Source organism: Homo sapiens, chromosome 3 (genome assembly GCF_000001405.40).
Source record: "Homo sapiens chromosome 3, GRCh38.p14 Primary Assembly".
NCBI lineage: Eukaryota > Metazoa > Chordata > Mammalia > Primates > Hominidae > Homo > Homo sapiens.
In genome coordinates this window covers 12004131-12021551 of record NC_000003.12, presented here as the reverse complement: position 1 = coordinate 12021551, position 17421 = coordinate 12004131, and the positions used below count along the sequence as shown (strand labels likewise).

Genomic DNA, 17421 nt, shown 5'->3' with positions numbered 1-17421 from the left:
CAGGCTGGTCACAGGGCTCAAGTGGTCCACCCACCTCAGCCTCCAAAGTAGCATGACATTTCACATATTTTTAAACAAACATTGGGGAAAACATTTAATCTTACCTGGTATACTCATAGAAATACATGTTAAAATGGGCAAATACTGCTTTATGGATATTAACACTAAAAAAGATAATACCATGTGCTGCAAAGTGAGGTAAAAATGGTTGATAGACTGCAAATATAATAGAAAAAAACCTTTCATAGAATCTTTTCAGATATTGCAATATAGTAACATTACCAAGAGTTACAGATATAATAATCTTTGATCAAGTAGTTGGTCTCCTGAAAATTGAGAATGCCTATGGTTGTACTATGTCATAATGGTGAAAAATTGGAAGTCAATACAGTTCTTTAACAGAATTATAAATTGAAGAAATCATGGTACATTAGCCATGAAAAAATACAATTTTTAAGACTGGCATATGTCAAAATTATTTATAAGTGAAAAAAATATGAAGTTATAGCTAGAGTACAACCACAATTATGTAAAAATGTGTGTATATGAACAAATATTAGAAGAGAATACAAAAAATGTGAAAGCAGCTCCTCTACTGCTATGGTAAAATTATGAGATAAATGTTTTCTATTTAAAACATCCTTTAATCATACTGATATAATAAATCATACTTTATTACATTGCTTGTTTAATAGCTTGTCTCCTCCACTAAACTATAGGCTTTGTGAAGACAGGGCAATGTTTCTTGTGCTCGCGTTACAGCACCAATTCCTACTGAATAATTCATGAAAGAATATATGAAGTACATGGGAAACCTCAAAATAAATACCCCCAAGAAGGGGAGAGGAGGTAAATCATTAAAGTCAAACAAAAAGTTTATATCTAGGTGCCTGTTTCTAAGATACATCTAGGGGAAAAACTAAATCAGCACTGAAGAATCTCTGGAGAGTCCTTCTTCCTTCAAAGCTGCTACCTAGATCTTTCTCCTAAGGGTCTGGGGGAAAGCACAGGATCCTGGGAAGTGGGCATAGCAGCAGGGAACCTCCCAAAACTTTCAGGGGGTATCCCGAGTCAGAGGGCCAGGTGCTTCAAATCCTTTCCCTACTCCAAAACCCACTGCCCTTCTACTCCAGGAACCTTCCATATCACTACAGCTGGAATCAACTGGGGGGACAGAAGAAGAGGAGGATGTTGCAAGAGGGACTAATTATGTGGGGGGCCAGGGTGGGGGGGAAGAGGACAGGAAAAAAAACAGACCAGCAGAGAACAGTCTTTTTAGTAGGAACTTAAGTTTAAGTCTGATGCCACTCTGAGTTCTGGCTAAGAAATAAATTTCCAGGTACAAAGAAAAATAAGAAGCTTTAAAAGAACTGAGCTCTGGAGTGAAAATCCTCTTTCCTGACAACTCAGAATCAGTCTGAAATATACCAGAAGAACTCTAAGTCATAGAAGTATTATAAGCATTAACAAAAACATATAGGGAAAGGAGACGATCTTTAAATTATTTTCATCCAACCTACGCAACATCTGTCACAAACCATACAGGCTCTTGCCATCTTAAGCAATTTTTTTATCTATCCCTGGTGCTTCTAAGCAAAAGCATCATCAATTGACTAATGCAGAGATCAGAAAGGAGCTTAGCCGCACAGAGAAAGGGTACAGAGTGAGAAGAGTATTGATTTTAGACACAGCTTTATTTCGGTGTTATAACTTTAAGCAAAATCGCAAGCTCTCTGAGCCTTGGATTCCTAATCTAAGCAGGAAATTATACCAATTTACCTCACAAGGTCAAGGTGACAATTAAGTGCAATGGTACATACAAGTCAAAGTACATAAATTGTAAAGTTTTACTTAAATATATGACCTTAATAAGGAATCAGAAATACTACAATTTCCTTCCAAGGGTCACAGTTAAGTTGAGTGCATTTTTTTCAAACAAACCTGACTGCATAAGTTATCTGGAGGCTACAGGAAAATTAGTCTCATCCCATTTTGCCAAGTTAACTGATGTTTTATTCTTTCAAAGAGTAGACTTTTCATGTAGGTGGGTGGCAATAAAGAATACTTTTCCTTTTCCTCTGATCATAGTGCTGAAATTCCACTATTCATGACTTAGTGTCAGAGAAGTTTTTCTGTTTCCCAGCTCCTTCTATGAAAATGCAGAAACCTGAAAAAGGGTTGCCAGTAACCATTAGCAACTCATAGTTGAGCTAACATGGTTAGCTCACGGGCTCACTCTACTGAATACTAAGGGCTAGGAAATAGGGATGCCAACAACAATTTGCCTTAAATGTCCCAAGAACCTGCTGATTTCACATTTTCAGTCTTGTAGTCTCCAACCACCAAAATTCCCTCCAAATTCCCCCATTTCAGCATCTAAAAATCTCCCAGACTATTTCTTGCACTGGCAAATAAGACTTCATGTCCCAATTTTGATTCAGAAAACACGTTCACATCTGGAATGAGTCCCAGGTCATAAGATATATGTCCACAGACAGAGAATAAGAGGCATCATTGGAGAGAGAAGGCACCAAAAAGTAAGAAAACAAAATTCACTACCTACACAGTTCTAACTAGACTCAACAGCCCTGATACTTGAGAAAACCTATTTCCTCCCCTAAGTTCTTACTCTCATAACTAGAAAAAGTGCCCATGACCATACCTAAAAGGAAACTAAGTGGGGAACTCTTCCTCATATCTACCTACTCTCAATCCCACCAGTTACTAGAGTTTCAGACAATACATATTGAAATCTGTTGTTTTTGTTACAGTTTGCAAAGTCCTCCCATAGACATTATCTCATGAAGAAATTAGGACAAGTAAAATTATTCCAATTTTAAGGATGAGGAAACTGAGATTCAGAGAAGAATAGCAAATTGTTACGGCATGAATTAAACTAGTCTCAATCCTCCCATCACTACTCTTCATGGCGCTGTTCATTGGCCTTTTGTATCAGAATCTAGATGTTTCTGCAAGAGAATTCCAAGCTAGCACCAAAGGGAAATCATTAAGCTAAATGCCCTTGGAAAACAAGTCTATTAAATGGTTGGAAGAACTGATATTTTTGCCCACAAAATTTCCAACCAGATTAGCTAACCACCTGGCTCTATGGCACCTGGCACTCAGTCTAGGAAGCCTCAAGAAATACACACAGGATCCAAAGTCACGCTGCTTATCCAAACTTCTTCCTTTCCCTGCCCTGAAACCTTTATGCCAACTAGCCTACATCTGCTCTACACACTTCTTTCCCATTACTGTTACTATATTTTTACTATCTCTTCCTTTTTACTGAAATGCCTCTTTCCTTCCTCACTAATCTAAATCCCACTCATCTTTCAAAGCTCAGCTCAGATTTGTCCCTTCTGTAGAACATTCTCTTTTCCAGGCCACAGAACCTATAGAACCCACAAATCTGGGTTCTAGTCCCGACTCTATCACTTCCTGGCTATTTGAGCTTGGGTAATCATCTTAACCTACTTAGACCTTAATTCCTTCATATGTAAAATGAGAATAGTATTAGTACTGCACCACAGATTCTATTGTGTGGAGGATTAAATGAGACATGAATGTGATAGTGCTCAAAGTATGAAGTTTCCACATATAAGTCAGCTTAAAAACATCTTCCCCAGAGACTGTTTCAAAACAGTGCTAATCAATGTTTTCCAAACCATGTACAACAAATTGCTCGAACCAAAATGAAGGAATATTCATCTAGGTTTGTTCTATTTTTCTAAATCATTTTTTAGTGTCATGAAAATCTGTTCACAAATGACAGGCTCCTATCCTCACTTGAAGGCTCCTATAAATACTCATGTAGTAAGCTGTTGTCTTAAAGCTGCTATGAAAATCTGCTTGTCATGGTGGAACATTCACTGAACATCTGTCAAGTGTCAATCATATTGTTAGACATTTTCAAGGTTTATTTCAATTAGTTTGAGATATACTTTATCTCCTCTTTTTAGATGAAGAAAGTTCAGAGAGAATAAGAAATTGTTCAAGGTCAAACATGTATCTGTGTCACTGAGAAAAAGAAATACCAAGGTGTTCAGTGGAAAGGAGAAATATGGAACAAATTGTTATCCATTAATCACAGAGCATGATGGTTAGGAGCATGGAAGCATGAACTCTGGAGCTGGACTCCCTGGGTACAAATTCCGAATTCACTGTGAGCTATAGTTTCCTCATTTGTAAAATTAGGTTAATAGTAGTAATCTACTTGATATCCTAGTAAATGAGTTAATACATCTACTTAGAACAGTGCCTGCCTGTCACAAAATACATGCCCAATACATTATGTATTATCATTTTTCCCACCTTGTTTATCCAAGCCTTTCCCTCTTTTCCCTGCCTTGAAACCTTTATGCCAACTAGCCTACATCTGCACTACACACATCTTACTCATTACTGATGTTATGCTTTGGCTCTTTCTCTTACTCTTAACTGAAATGCCTCTCTCCCACCTCACTAATCTAAATCCCATTCTTCCATCAAAACCCAGCTCAGATCTGTGACTTCTGTGAAACATTTTGACTTCTACAGTCCACTGAGACTGTGATATTGTTTGACTATATAAAGAGTTCTTTATATAGTCAAACAGTCCAACCTTTAGAAACCACTTGATTTCTACAGATCACTTGATTTCATAAGGGCCTCTGAAGATCGATGATTTAGCCTATATCCATAATTTTGTTGTTGTTGTTGAGATGGAGTCTCTGTCACCCAGGCTGGAGTGCAGTGGCGCGATCTCAGCTCACAGCAACCACCACCTTCCAAGTTCAAGCAATTCTCCTGCCTCAGCCTCCCGAGTAGCTGGGATTACAAGTGCCCACCACCACACCCAGCTAATTTTTGTATTTTTAGTAGAGATGGGGTTCACCATATTGGCCAGGCTGGTCTCAAACTCCTGACCTTAAGTGATCTGCCCGCCTCAGCTTCCCAAAGAGCTGGGATTACAGGCGTGAGCCACCACGCCTGGCCTACATCCCTAATTTTTGAAACAGAAATTGAGACTTGAACAGTTAAACTGCCTATGGTGACACAAAAAGTTAGTTGGCAGAGTACAGACTTGAACCCAGGTGTTTTAAGTGTTTGCAATGCTCTTTCCATTACACTATCCTAATTCTGTCTTCCTTGAGATTCTCTATAAGTCCTACAAGACTGAAAGCATATATTCTATAATTATTTGATTTCAAGTATTTCACTGGTTTCGTAGCCTTCATGGCAACTAACACATTCAAGTTAGTAGCAGTTTGCTAATTATTTCATCAATCTTTCATTGGTGCCCTTTTATCTAACAGTTAAAATGTTAGTGAACACAGGACTCTAGAACTTAAATTCTCACCATTAGCTATTCATCAGGGGAAGAGAGGGACAGAAGAGGGAAATATATATTCATATGTATTGCTACAGTTGCATTACAAGGTACAACAAAAAAGGATTCACACTATATCACTGGAATCTAGAAATATAAAAGAAACAGTTTTCAGTTGTGTTATTGAGGGCCTTCAAAGATTCAGTCCATGATAGAGAAAGGGGATCTCAATTTCCTCTCACGAAGCCCAAGCCTCTTTGTACAGGATTAAATCAGGCTGAAATTATTGTACGAAGTTGTCAGGCCCCCTGAACAGAGAAAGAGATAAGAGGTATATATCCTGGAAAAGGGATTATAGTTGTGCTTGGGAGGACAGGAATGGAAGAACAGTCCTAGATAGAAAGAAGAAAAGAACGAACAAACCCTAGAACTTGAGAAAAGCTCAAGGAAACAAAGGCAGTTTAATGCCTAGGCTGAGAGAGGAGAAGCAGAGAGCACAACAGCTGTTCTTCAGAAAAAAACAAGCATGGGGTGTTTAGGAACATCAGACAAGGGTGAATGAGGGAGAGGTGCGAGCAGGTACGTAATCAGCCTTATGTAACGGAAGGTGTAGGAAATTCTAATCCAGTAACAATAATTAATGCTTCTATAGCACTTTACACTTTATAAAAAGATTTTATATATACCACTACTTGCTGACTAGTTACTTCGGTTAATGCAGCTGTCATTTGTTTATATTTACAGGGAACCAACGAGTTGCTTTTGCTCATCATTGATATTTTCATAATTTTTTTCATAAGTCACTGATAAGTTCAACAAATAAGTACTGAAAACTTTCTTTGTCCTGGAGATACTGAAATAAAAGTTATAGTCACTGCCTTCAAGGGGATCTCAGTGTTGTCGAAAGTGAGGTGTTGGGGAAGACAGACAAACCCTGATTATAATACAGTGGGCTAACTGCTATGACAGGTAATCAATGGTATTGTGGTTTCTAACACAAATGGAAATAATTTAAGGAAGGATTAAGTCCTGATGCTAGACGATGCAACAACTGAGTTGAGTCTTGAAGATTATCCAGGTAAAGACACAGGAGAAGAAAGCCTTTCAGGAAGCACAAGTAGTACAAATAAAGACACAGGGGCACGGCACATTCAATTAACTCTATGTAGTGTCTCATGGTTACATCAAAGTATGTGGCAAATCAAAGAAAGGCAAGGCAGGAGAAGTAAGCAGTCAGATCATGAATGCTTGCTGTGTACTTTCAACATTTTCCAATCACAATGATGTTTTGGTTCTCCAAATCTCTATTCTACCATTAGTAAACTGTTTACAATTAAAGCTGTTTTCAAGAAAACAAATATATTGTTTGTGATAGTTCTGAAGAGCCCTTAGAATGGGGAAGTTAAACCATTCCCACAATCCCACTTTGCAGTTGAAAAAACAGGAAGCCAAAAAAGCTGTGTGGAAGAAGGCACACAAAACTCATAAAGGTATAGACAAAGCAATAGCCCAAAGGAACTTTTTCACTAAAGAGAAAGAAACACACAGCTTGGGTGGCCTGAGGTTGGAGTTTCACACTGAGGAAAAAAGAAGACCGAATTTTCAGAAAAATGGTTCCTTGAGAGCCAAGTGTCAATATATGGTAAGAGAAACTTGGTCCTCAATTTTATTCCATTTGCCTTTGCTCTGCTCAGAGCTGCCATGGACTAGATAATACTTTCCAGTATTGTGGGCTGCTATGGCTCTCTCATTCAGAGCTAAATCTCTAAAGATTTATGATGTGGTATGGTTGAAAATTAGTAATTAATTTATATTTCATAGGACATAAGAGTGAAAGCATTCTAAAGCTTATATTTGAAGACAGTAAGGATGACTTCCAACATATTAACATATACTTCTAATCCTAGGATACTTCCCTCTCTTCATTGTTACCTTCTATCCCTTATCTCATCCTTTGACTCTCTTGCTGCTCAATTCAATATGGCAAAGATTTACTGTCCTCAATCTATGTGTCAAGCCCTATGCTGGATGCTAAGGATGCAAAAAGGAATGAAACATTCAGCCTGTCTGTCCTCAGAGAACCCACTATCTAGTGGGGAAGCAGACACATAAACAGACCATTGTGTTGTGTCCAGAGATAAAGATACTTGCAGTATTGAAAGAGGGCATGGAGGGGGCATAGACGCTCAATACAATCTAGAGAGTTAGAGAAGAGTTTCTGGAAAAGGAAATACTCAGTCTCAAAAGATGAATATGAATTTAATCAAGAAAAGGAAAGGGGAGGAAGGGAAACTGTAGTAGCAGACAGTAAAGACAAGGAGGAGGAATGCAACAATGTGTGTATGGAAGTGCAAACAGTTCAGTATTGCTGGAAAAGGAAGTCTGGACATGGAAATAATTAGAGACGGCAGGAGAAGAAAGCAGGGGTCAAATCACAGGAGGGCCATAAACTACCTATAGGATGTAAGAAGCTCCTGAAAAACTTTAAGCAAAGGAGTAAAAAGGTCAAATTTGCATTTTAAATAGTTCATTCAGGTTACTAAATGGAAATCATGATGAGACTTGCAGAAGTTCTAGGTGAAAGTTAATGAGAACTTGAAATAGGTGACCATCGGTGTCCCACTTAAAATACAGAATAGAAGAGCTGGAATAGGAAGGAAAAACATGGATTTCAATATTGGATCAAACGACTCTTAACCACCCAGATGGAGATGTCCAGCAGGCAGCTGCACATATGTCTAAAGATGAGGACAAAGTTTTGGACTAAAGGTAATGATTAGGGAACTGATTGTACTTAAGAGGTAACTGACACCTTGAGAGTAGATGGACCAGGGAGAATATGCAGTATAAAAAAAGAAGTGGGCAGGAAAAGGGGGCCCGGAGGAACATCTACATTTAATGAGGTAGACAAAGGGAAAGAACAAGAAGAGTGAAAAGAAACTTCGATAAAACAAGTATGAAGAGAACAAAGAGGCTGGGGGTGGTGGCTCATGCCTGTAATCTTGACACTTTGGGAGGCTGAGGCAGGAGGATCACTTGGGGCCAAGACTTCGGGACTAGCCTAGGCAACATAGCAAGATCTTGTCTTTACAAAACTATTTAAAAATTTTAAAAAGGAACAAAGAATGCAGTGTCCTGAAGCCAAGCGACTTCCAAAGGGAAGATATACAGTGTCAAACACATCAGTGAACATTTGACACCTTCCTCTGGATTTAGCAATTAGGTTCCCTAGCAAGAACAGTATCAATATTACAGAGAAGGCAGAAGGCCAGTGTCAGTGGAAAAGGGCAAATAACTGGATAAGTAACGAGTGAGATTTATCTTTCATGTTTGGAAGAGTGATTAGGAAGGTGAGGATGAGTTTTTCATTTGTTACTTTATTTACAAGAATGGAGCAACCCATAGAAAGAGCAATCAGTAGAAAATGAGAATATGAACAGAAGGAAAAAGAGAGATGAAATCTTAAGCAAGGTCATGCAGAAGACAAGAGATGAGTCTTTTTCAACAATAGGCAATGCCTTTATCCTCGGAGAATGAAATAAAGAAAATCAACGTTAAGGTAAGAGAACCAGGACAAGAGCATTCCAAACAAAGGCAGCTGTGCAATAATAGCACCAGGTCTTAAAAGTCCAGCATGTGTGCAGGGAGAGGGTAATCCAGAGTACAGCAAAATTCAGGATTGAGGGGACAGTGAGAAATGAGTCTGAAAAGCTGGAGGCAAACTGTGAATAAGCACAATGAGCAACTACGTGTTAGGGAAGAATGTTAAGAAAGAAGCTAACTTTCTAAGATCCGTGAATGCTTTTGTTTTGCTTAAAAATATTCTGAAAGCAATGTTCTAGGCTTTGATTGGATAGGGAAACAAATACAAGCACTACCTTTTAAAGGCCTTCTGTGTATTTCTCTCTTCCTTCATTTTCCTCTGTAGCCATCCTTCCTTAATTAGTTACAAGTAAAACTGAAGGAGAGCTATTTTAGAATTCACTTATTAAATAAAATTAAGATTTATGTGGTTCTGCCCCTAATTATTAAATATAGCTGAGTTAATGGGTAATGTTTTTGTCATTAAAAAAAAAAACTAAGTTATATTGCCTTTTGAAAAACACAAAAGAAAGCCTTTGATGATATTGTCTTGAGTCGGTGGCCCTCAACTAAATAACAACAACAAAAAGAAGATTCCTCATCCCAGAAGTGTGCAAAATAAACAATCACTTACATAACAAAATTTTGGGAACTCAAAAAAGGAACCAAGGTAGATCAGATACCTGCGGCTGGAAACAGGGAAAGATGTAACACTAACTACTAGTATGGCTCTTTAGCTTTTACAAAATGCTTTTATGGTACCTTATTTTATTTAATTATCACAACAGTGGTATCAGAAATACATAATGTTATCTCCACTTTACAGGTAATGAAACTAATTTTTGTCTGTTATTCTAGAACCTTGAACAGTGCCTGATATATAGTAGACCTCCAGCGGAAATCTGTCAAATAGATGGGAGAAAGGCTCAAGGAGATTATGTAAACCTGATAAGGCCATAAGGCTAACAGTGGAGCCAGATCTCAATTCGAAGTCTTTTGACCCTCAATCCTGTATCTCACATTGTTTCATGCTGCTGAAAAGGAAAGAAGGGCAGGGTGACTGAATCTAATCTATTTTACAATCTTACATGAACTGGTTAAAATTTCTGAAATGCCTGCTGTCAAGCAACAAACACCAAGGCCCATATACATCCTCCTATTCTTAGTCATGCAGCATGGACATCCTTAGAGTTCAGGCACCTGTGGTATCTGCTCACTTTATTCTCTCCACAGGTCACTGCCCTACTAAAAACTACGTCTTCCTGCTGTATTGAAGCAGTGTCTGCAGAACAGAAAAGCCTTCTAGATCATCCTCTCCTTTCTCTAAAGAGATATTGTAGCTTTATGATACCCAATTGCTTCTATGTGGGAAGCTAAAAAAAATTAGGTAACAATTTTTTTCTTATAAAAAAGGCAATTTCTCTTGCAAAAGATTTTCCACAATTCATTTAAATAGTGAGTGCCCCACTGTTTTTGAAATTATTCAATTTACAAAAACTCAATATACACAGCTTTTTCAGGATCATATCCACCACCTAGAGTGAAGTCATGGTTAAATGCAGTAGCCTCAAGACAGAGTTGTATCTTGGTTTTTCTGTGTGTTTAGTGGCACTCCCACTATGTGTACACCTGTAAATCTTGTAAGAACTTCTGCAAGCTTATCAGGTGGCATTGTCATCTTTTGTTTTAGATTCCCACATAGATTTAGCCACAAGTCCCAATTCCCATCATTGATGAGGAAATATACACAGCAGGCATCACAGGATTAGCCTCTTTTTTCACGATAACATATGGTAGCAATAATGTAACAAGGAGGTACTGAATTAAGACCATTCAAAGGTGAGCTTTTCATTCCGGGAAATGTTTAGTCATTTATTGACGTATGTCTCTGCTTCCAAAGATTTACAGGCATTACCATATAGAAAAAAATTAGAGCTAATGCTTTTAAAAGAAAATGGCACAAAAACTGAACCACGGAAATAATACAGTACTGGAAAGGATCTTGGAGAATATATTTCAATCCTCTCATTTGACAAATTTTAGAAAATCAAAGTCCAAAGATGCGAAGTGGTTTATCTAAGAATACATGGTGGCACATTTTAATGGAACATTTCTAAGTACAAGATCTTCATTCCCCAGGATAACTTATCTCTGTGTTCCCATAGCATCCTATGCATACTAATTACCATACAATATTAAAATCCTCTTTAAATGCCTGTCCTCTCCCATTGGACTGGACGATTCCAATAGACATGGCCTGTGTTTAATCCTTATATCCCTTGTAAATTTGAGGAGGTATGCACATCTGGAAAACTTCCTATTTAGGCCTCCATTCCTTTTTCCTTAGGAAGATATTAAAAAGAACAAGGTTATTACAGATCTGAACTTGGGTACAGAAAGACAGTAAGCAACCTTAGGTAGATAGGAACGCTAACTTAAAAATGGGTTCCTGAAGGGAAGGTCAGCATTACGGCACAGTCCTACTAACTTTATTAGATTGCTGGATTTTGACGACTAGGTCTCCAAGAGTCTTCTTCAACCATTTTATTTTATTTATTTTTTTGGAGATGGAGTCTTGCTCTGTCGCCCAGGCTACAGTGCAGTGGTGCGATCTCGGCTCACCATAACCTCTATCTCTCGGGTTCAAGAAATTCTCCTGCCTCAGTCTCCCGAATAGCTGGGACTACAGGCACACACCGCAACAACCAACTAATTTTTTGTATTTTAGTAGAGACGGGGTTTCACCGTGTTGCTGGTCTTGAACTCCTGAGCTCAGGCAACCTGCCTACCTCGGCCTCCCAAAGTGCTAGGATTACAGGCGTGAGCCACCGCGCCCAACCTTCTTCAACCATTTTAGAATGAACTTTGCTGAAACAACAATAACATAAATGAACACAAACAAGGAATAGTGTAATTGCTGGTGTCACTAATAGTGTGAGAGCGTGCTTACATGGTCTTTTTAAGCACTTACTAACAGCTCCATGATGAGTCTTTAAAAGAAGCCGACACAAACAGTATTTTTCAGGAGAAAAAGAATTTGAGAAATCTCAAAGAGCGACTTAAGAGTAAAAAGAAACTTGAAATGGAGTCAGATGTGAGTTTTAGTTCCCATTCTTTCACTAACTTCTCATTTGACCTTGGGCAAAATGTTCCATTTCTCTAGGCTAGATGATGATTCAGGTTCCCTCAGGTTTAAATGCTATCATTATGAGACTAAAAGTCCCCACCAGTCCTTGAGATAGTAAGGGATGGAAAAATATAAAAGTTAAAGGTAGAAAATAGTAAAAATGGAGGGATACTGTGGTAGAGTTGGGAAAAAAAAAAACATGGTAGAGAGATTAAAGTTCTAGATTCTAGTTCTGGTTCTGCCATTAGCTAAGTGAGTAACCTTGAACAAGCCACATCCCCTCTCGAGATCGAGATTTCCCCATTTATAAAGTAACTCAGATGATCTTTCAGCTCTAATATCTGAGAATTCTAAAGTACAGGCAACTGCTGCTATGAACAATCAAATTCTGTGCAATCAGTATATTTATGTTAGAAATAAGACGCTTAAAGTATTAAACAAAGAGAAGCCCCAAACCTTATTTGAGTGTTCTTTCAAGTTCAAATTCAAGTATTTTTTAGAGCCACTCACAAGCACTGGTTCAAGCAGACTGCAGTACTTTGAATTCCTCTATTCTTGATGAAATGCTCAAAGGCTGGCTAGAAAAGAATGGAGACAGGTACCGCCTAGATAACGCATCAATCTAGTCTCTTCGTTGTCCCCCTCTTTTCTGCAGTTGTACTTTCCTTATGCTATCCACTGTCTGGACTGAGACAAACCTATCTCTTTTGATTCCAATTCTTCGAGCTCAGTTAAAACCTCACTTGTTCCGAGAAACCTTCCATTCCCACTCTAGCCCAGATCCATCTCTTAACTCTTCTAAACTTCTGCAGTATTACACTGCTATGTAAAGAGTAAATGAGATTGGTACAAAGCTTAGTAAATCTGGCATATGTTGTTCAATAAATGACAGTAGTTGGTGTTATTGCCATACCCTTAGCACTAATGGCATATCCTTCAGCTAAGTGCATCTAAAATTTAATGTGATTATGAATCACCTGGGGATCTTATTCAAATGCAAATTCTGACTTAGTAGGTGTGAGGTGGGACTGGAGATTCTGCAGTTCAAAATGCTCCTGGTTGATGCCAATGCTGTTGATCCAAAGGCCCTACTTTTTAGTAAATTTTTTTTCAAAAGTATTTATCTTATCTACCTATCTGGACAGCAAGCTCTTAGATGGCAGATACTGTGTCTCATTTTTCTTAGTAAATATCCCCTATACAGAGAAGGTGCTTCATAAATATCTGTTGCCTTATATCTGCAGTCTGGACACTCAAGAGTACCTGTGCTATACTGAATCAAACACTGAAACATCATGCCAGGATGAAAAGCTCACTTGATCACTGGGGTCAGAATCTCCGGAACAAAGGCAGGACAGAATCTGAGAGAAAACGTATCTCTTCGCTGGTGAGAGTATAACACACAGAAGAAACAACATAAACACCTGTTCCTTGTTTAAGCACGATCATTAAAGTGCAATCTTAATTGCATTTCAAATTTAGCCATGAACCTTAAAAGAGGACATTTTCTGACAATATTTACAAAATACTAATAATAAATAATAAGGTATATAAAGAGCTTGATTTCAATTTTTAATGGCACAGATAAATTTTTCAACGATCTTTTAGTGTGCGATTAATCTAAAGATCTCAAACAACCAATGAAAACATTTCCAGCAAAAGAAAAACATCTTCCAATTTTCCCATCAACCTGGTCAGTGGTGGGGTCTCCAATTGCCCACAATTACAATGACAGAAATTCAAAGGAAACTGCTGTTGTATTAAGGATGCTCTGAGAGGCTGCTTATTTTAAGCCCTTCTTTTACATCTCTTGCTATTTAAATGCTTGTTCAGACTCTTTTTATTTTAGCATTATATAATTCAGAGGGGACCAATATTCTTAAGTTCTAATGAGTCTACACTCTGACTTCCTATTCCAGCACCAGAAAAATAATATAGGGCATATACGATATCACTCATTGAATACTATCTAGGTAGCTTAAACTGTGAGACAATTTTACTAAAATCAGTCTTCAGTGCAAAAATCACCTGTGTAAGTCACTGCGCTTGTCACGGCAAGCACCTGCTCCTTAACTCATAGAGACTTTTCAATAAAACCACTCATCAATTTTTAACTGAGATTTTTTGACAAATTTAGGCCCATATTAGAAGAGCAATTCTGGGAACTGCTATTAAGCACAGAAACACAGGAGCAAAAAACTGTTGTCAAGAACTAGACTTGAACTGGGCTTATGAGTTTTAATAAATCAATGTTATTACTTCAGAGAAAATAGGAAAACAGTTGGGAGTCAGCCCACGGGAAAGTGGCTTCTATGACTTCCATCAGAGGCTTCTAGTCTCCAGGGCAAGGCAAATTCTCTAGTTTATGCCAAATAGGCTTCCTAGAGAATACTATCCAAAGAGAGTTTCAAATCTTAAGCTACAGAAGCATTTATAACTAAACAGAAATCTGCAGCAGCTTCATCATACCCATACAAATAAGTATCAGTACCTATCTATAGATACCTAACTGGCAATAAGACTCAAAACAAGTGCATTTAATAGGATAAGAAATCAGGACAAGGTACAGAAGGGTCAAATTCCTGCACAGAAAAATAAAGCACGAATGTCATTCTCATTTCTCCTCTTCCTTTTCTTGGCCTTTCTTCAAGATTCATCTTTTGTGAAGCTTTCTCCAATAACTCTGGCTCTCACTAACCACTCCATTTGTTGACTGCCTGAAACACTAGTCTCAACCAATAATTCTAGATTTCTTTTTAACTGTTTCATGTATCCACTTTGTGTCCCAATTTGAGTGAGTTCTCTTAAAAGGCCCCCACACTGCCTAGAGGGAGCTTGTTATTAATATTGCTAATAATAATAGTGAGGCAATATAACACAGTGGAATGAAAGCAGTGGAGTCAAACAGGCCTAAGTTCAAATCCTGCTTCTACCACTTGCTGGCTACATGATTGTAAACATATTACTTACCTTTCCTAAGCCTCAGTTTTGTGAAGAAAATGCAATGAGATATCATGCTGAGAGTACAGCATTTGGCATATAATGGATGCTCTGACTGAGCACCTTTACTAGCTTGGTTACCTTCCCTTCCTCCGTAATAAGCACTTGTTGATATGAACTGAGTCAGAGTAATTCTAAGGAGGGCTGCCAGTGGCACTATCATATGCATTACACTTTCCCCATTACCCTCTTCCATGTGCCTTTGTCATTTCCTGGCAAAAGTCCTTTCGGATTTTCTACTCTACTCTCTTGAAAAGGCCAACCACATAAGTCACCCAAAGGACTATTCAGAATGGTGACATTAGCAGCCAGCAGGAGGGCATCTCCACATCTGCATCTCATTTCCACCACACCCACACGCCAGCACTCCCTCCCTCTGGGTCTCCCAAAGAGAGAATGCTAGAGAGAGAAAGCAGTGAAGCAGCCAAAAGAGGAAATGGAGAGAAATAGCTCTGTGGTCTCTCTGTGCACCCCTCCTGGGAAGAACACTCAGGTCCAGTCTCCAACCTCAACCCCTATGAGAAAAAAAAAAAAACAAAACCCTTGCTCACATTCCTGGAGAAAAGGCACCCCCAGATTCTCGGCCTCTTCATTTCTCCAAGCCCTTCACCTATCAATTTCACCATCCCACCATTCCCTAGGTTAACTATAAAATAGAGCCGCTTTTAACTAATTTGTCTTCAGTGGACCTCATTCGTACTTTTACCAAGCAGCAGCCTTCACCATTCTAAGTTGGAAACATGCTACCTATCTCTTTAGAAGAAAAAAAAAATTATTGAAGTTTCCCATCTACTACATTAAGGCAGGTCTCCTTTTATTTGTACCCCTTTAATGATCCAGTATATTTTACCAAGGTCTTCATCTTTCAGCTAGAAAAAGCTACCATTCACTTCCACGCCCCGCCCCCCACCACGCACATTTCAGAAAAACAAGCAATCAAAAAAAAAAAAAAAAAATTCCACACGTCCCCTCCCTGCTGCACAAAATACAACAATTTTATTATTCATAAAGAGACTTCAGCCATGCTCCGGGGAACAAGCCCGTGTACACCTGGGCCACTACATGTGTGATTTCATCAACCTGATGTCAATACTTGATATCAGCCTTCATGGGTCCTGGTTAAAAAAAACCCACCACCACCTTCTCCCTCCAAAATACCAATTTCCATTCCAAATTCACTCCGTGCTTCATGAAGTTAAACCTTTTTTACTGGCCCTAAATGTTCCTTCGGCCTCCTGGGACTATTTCACTTCAGATTTTATGTGTCTAAGCTAACAAGTGTGTCCCCTCCTCTACCCCCAAAAAAACTATTTCCTAAGGGCCTTTCCTGTTGCATAAAGTAGCTCCTTCTTGTATGGGACCTGGGGGACCTGGGGCAATTGAGGGGTATTTTAGCTTTGGGTTCGCCTTTCCGGGCTGATGGATGCCCTCCCTCACCCCGCAAACGCGCGCGCGCTCAGCCCGCACCTCCTCCCAGCGGGACCTCGGGGACCCTCCTTTTTATTGGTCTGAAACGTTTCCTCGGCGACCTGGGACCGTCCTCTCCTGGCCTGCGGCTGCCGGCGGACCCCGACCCCCGAGGGCGGCGGCGCCCGGCACCTACCAGTCGGCGTGCGGCTCGTCGACCACCAGCAGCACCTTGGCCTTCCTGGCGGCTGCGGGCGCGGGAGCGGGCGCGTCCACCAGGCCAGCCGAGGCGGCCGTCTGCTTCACGGCTTGGGACAGCGAGCTGAAGAAGCTGCTGCCCACCGACGGCGTCGGCGCGGGCTGCGGCGCGGGCGCCGAGGCGGGCGGCGGCCTCCGCTCCGGGCCCGGCGAGGCGGTCGGGGGCGCCGCCGAGGCCGAGGCGGCGCCCGGACCGGGGGGCGGCGGCGGCGGCGGCTGCTGGGGCTCGGGCCGCTGCAGGTCGGTCATGTAGCCGTTGGGCAGGTTGGCGATGAAGCTGCTGTCCGACAGCCGGCGCCGCAGGAAGTTCATCATCTGGCTTAAAGGGCTGGGGGCGCGCGGGGCTACGGGGTCTGGTGGCGCGGAGGGAGAGCGAGGGCGGAAGGCGAGATTGAGGCGACTGAGGCGGCTGAGGCGGCGGCTTAGCCAGCAGAGACTCAGGCCCCGGCACCAGACCCCGCAGACAGCAGCGGCGGTCTGGGCCAGGCAACCCGCGCGGCGCGAGGCTCGCGGAGAGGGAGCGGGCGGGGCAGGGGCGGGGCCAGAGATAGCCCCCGCCCCGCGCCGCAGAGGCGGCCCCGCCCCGCTCACGGAGGGCACCTAGCCGCGCGTCTGGCGACTCTCGGGGCTTGCAGGAGGGGGCGACCCAGGCCTCCAGCAACCTGAGCGTGACTATGCGGGGAGGGCGTGGGAGCCAGGCCTTCTCCCCAGGGGAAGGAAAAGGAACCAGAGGCCC

General features: G+C 40.6%; 1 protein-coding gene across 3 annotated transcripts in view, besides 1 other annotated feature; it reads right to left on the bottom strand.

The window, feature by feature from the left end:
- Positions 1-17164, bottom strand: part of SYN2 (synapsin II) — a 187645-nt gene extending 170481 nt beyond the window's left edge. For all 3 annotated transcript variants that reach the window (NM_133625.6, NM_003178.6, XM_006713311.4), the window contains exon 1: positions 16624-17164. In NM_133625.6, coding sequence (NP_598328.1) covers positions 16624-17000 — 377 coding nt within the window. In that variant the 5' untranslated portion in view covers positions 17001-17164. The remainder of the gene's footprint in view (positions 1-16623) is intronic.
- Positions 15965-16465: an enhancer, noted in NCBI's record as "H3K4me1 hESC enhancer chr3:12046587-12047087 (GRCh37/hg19 assembly coordinates)". NCBI's record gives its function as "activates a minimal SCP1, AML or CMV promoter by ChIP-STARR-seq in naive and primed H9 embryonic stem cells {active_cell/tissue: H9 hESC(naive and primed)}" and the evidence as "EXISTENCE:reporter gene assay evidence [ECO:0000049][PMID:30033119]".